This window comes from Homo sapiens, chromosome 8, assembly GCF_000001405.40.
Source record: "Homo sapiens chromosome 8, GRCh38.p14 Primary Assembly".
Lineage (NCBI taxonomy): Eukaryota > Metazoa > Chordata > Mammalia > Primates > Hominidae > Homo > Homo sapiens.
In genome coordinates this window covers 63,136,153-63,138,451 of record NC_000008.11, presented here as the reverse complement: position 1 = coordinate 63,138,451, position 2,299 = coordinate 63,136,153, and the positions used below count along the sequence as shown (strand labels likewise).

Below are 2,299 nucleotides of genomic sequence, written 5' to 3'. Positions count from 1 at the left end.
CACTCCAGCCTGGGCAACAAAAACGAAACTCTGTCTCCAAAATAAATAAATAAACAAATAAAAAATAAAAACTATTCATGAGTATTATTTTATGACACTGTAGTTATTTGCATAAGTTCAATAAGAATATGTTTTCTTTTGTAACAGGACACTGGAGACACTGGTTATTTTACCAAGGCTTTGATTGGAATGCCATATTTTCAGATATGAATAGACTGCTTGAGGAATTGATGTTGTCTTTATAGAGTTGATAAAAAGCCCCTAGCATTTTGTGGGAGTGAAGTGGTTGTTGGGCTGTGCTTGGATCTGTTGCTGCCTCAGTGTCCCTGTTGGGATTCCCAGCAGCAGCCTAGCAGAAAAGTAAAAGATGTCTGAATATATTCGGGTAACCAAAGATGAGAACAATGAGCCCATTTAAATACCTTCAGAGGACGAAGGGACGGTGCTGCTGTCCACTGTTACAGCCCAGGGGCACATGGGCTTTGCTACAGGAATCCAGTGTCTCAATGTATGAGAGGTTTCCGGCTGGTAGAAGGAATTCTACATGCCCCCGATGCTGGCTGGGGAAATCTGGTGTATGTTTTCAACTATCCCAAAGACAACAAAAGCAAAATGGATGAGACAGATGCTTCATCAGCAGTGAAAGTGAAAAGTTTTGGGTGTCCCGTGGAAAACAACTGAACAGGATCTGAAAGAATATTTTAGTACCTTTGGAGAAGTTCTTACGGTGCAGGTCAAGAAAGATATTAAGACTGGTCATTCAAAGGGGTTTGGCTTTATTCATTTTATAGAATATGAAACACAGGTGAAAGTAATGTCACATTGACATATGATGGATGGACAATGGTGTGACTGTAAACTTGCTAATTCTAAGCAAAGCCCAGATGAACATTGAGAAGCAGAAAAGTGTTTTTGGGGCAGTACAGAGAACATAACTGTGGATGAGCTGTCGCAGTTCTTCTGTCAGTACGGGGAAGTGGTGGATGTCTTCATCCCCAAGCCGTTCAGGGCCTTTGCCTTTGTTACATTTGCAGATGATCAGGTTGCTCAATCTCTCTCTTTTTTTAATTTTTATTATACTTTATGTTCTAGGGTACATGTGCACAACATGCAGGTTTATTACATAGGTATACATGTGCCATGTTGTTTTGCTGCACCCGTCAGCTCATCATTTACATTACGTATTTCTCCTAATGCTACCGCTCCCCCAGCCCCGCACCACCTGACAGGCCTGGGTGTGTGATGCTCTCCTCCCTGTGTCCAGGTGTTCTCATTGTTCAATTCCCACCTCTGAGTGAGAACATCCGGTGTTCGGTTTTCTGTCCTCGCGGTAGTTTGCTCAGAATGATGGTTTCTAGCTTCATCCATGTTCCTACAAAGGACATGAACTCATCCTTTTTTATGGCTGCATAGTATTCCATGGTGTATATGTGCCACATTTTCTTAATCCAGTCTATCATTGTTGGACGTTTAGGTTGGTTCCAAGTCTTTGCTATTGTGAATGTGCTGCAATAAACATATGTGGGTTGCACAATCTTTTTGTGGAGAGGACTTGATCATTAAAGGAATCAGTGTTAAAATACCCAATGCCAACCTAAGCACAATAGCAATAGAAAGAAGTGGAAGATTTGGTGGTAATCCAGGTGGCTTTGGGAATCAGGGTGGATTTGGTAATAGTAGAGGGGATGGAGCTGGTTTGGGAAACAACCAAGGTAGTATTATGGGTGGTGGGATAAACTTTGGTGAGTTCAGCATTAATCCAGCCATGATGGCTGCAGCCCAGGCAGTGCTACAGAGCAGTTGGGGTATCATGGGCATGTTAGCCAGCCAGCAGAGCCAGTCAGGCCCATTGTGTAATAACCAAAGCCAAGGCAACATGCAGAGGGAGCCAAACCAGGCCTTCGATTCTGGAAATAACTCATAGTGGTTCTAATTCTGGGGCAGCAATTGGTTGGGGATCAGCATCAAAAGCAGGGTGGGGCAGTGGTTTTAAAGAAGGCTTTGGCTCAAGCATGGATTCTAAGTCTTCTGGCTGGGGAATGTAGATGGTGGGGTTGTGGTTGCTTGGTACAGAATGGTGGGAATTCAAATTTTTCTAAACTCATGGTAAGTATATTGTAAAATACATATGTACTAAGAATTTTCAAAATTGGTTTGTTCAGTGTGTAGTATATTCAGTAGTATTTTTGACATTTTTCTTTAGAAAAAAGAAGAGCTAAAGGAATTTTACGTTTTGTTACGTAAAGGATTGAAATATTGTGGTTGAAAGTGAACTGCTGTTTGCCTGATTGGTAAACCA

General features: G+C 41.8%; 1 pseudogene; it reads left to right on the top strand.

Annotated features, from left to right (window-relative positions):
- Positions 1–367: 367 nt before the first annotated feature.
- TARDBPP4 (TARDBP pseudogene 4) lies at positions 368–2,045 on the top strand (annotated as a pseudogene).
- The last annotated feature ends 254 nt before the right edge of the window (positions 2,046–2,299 follow it).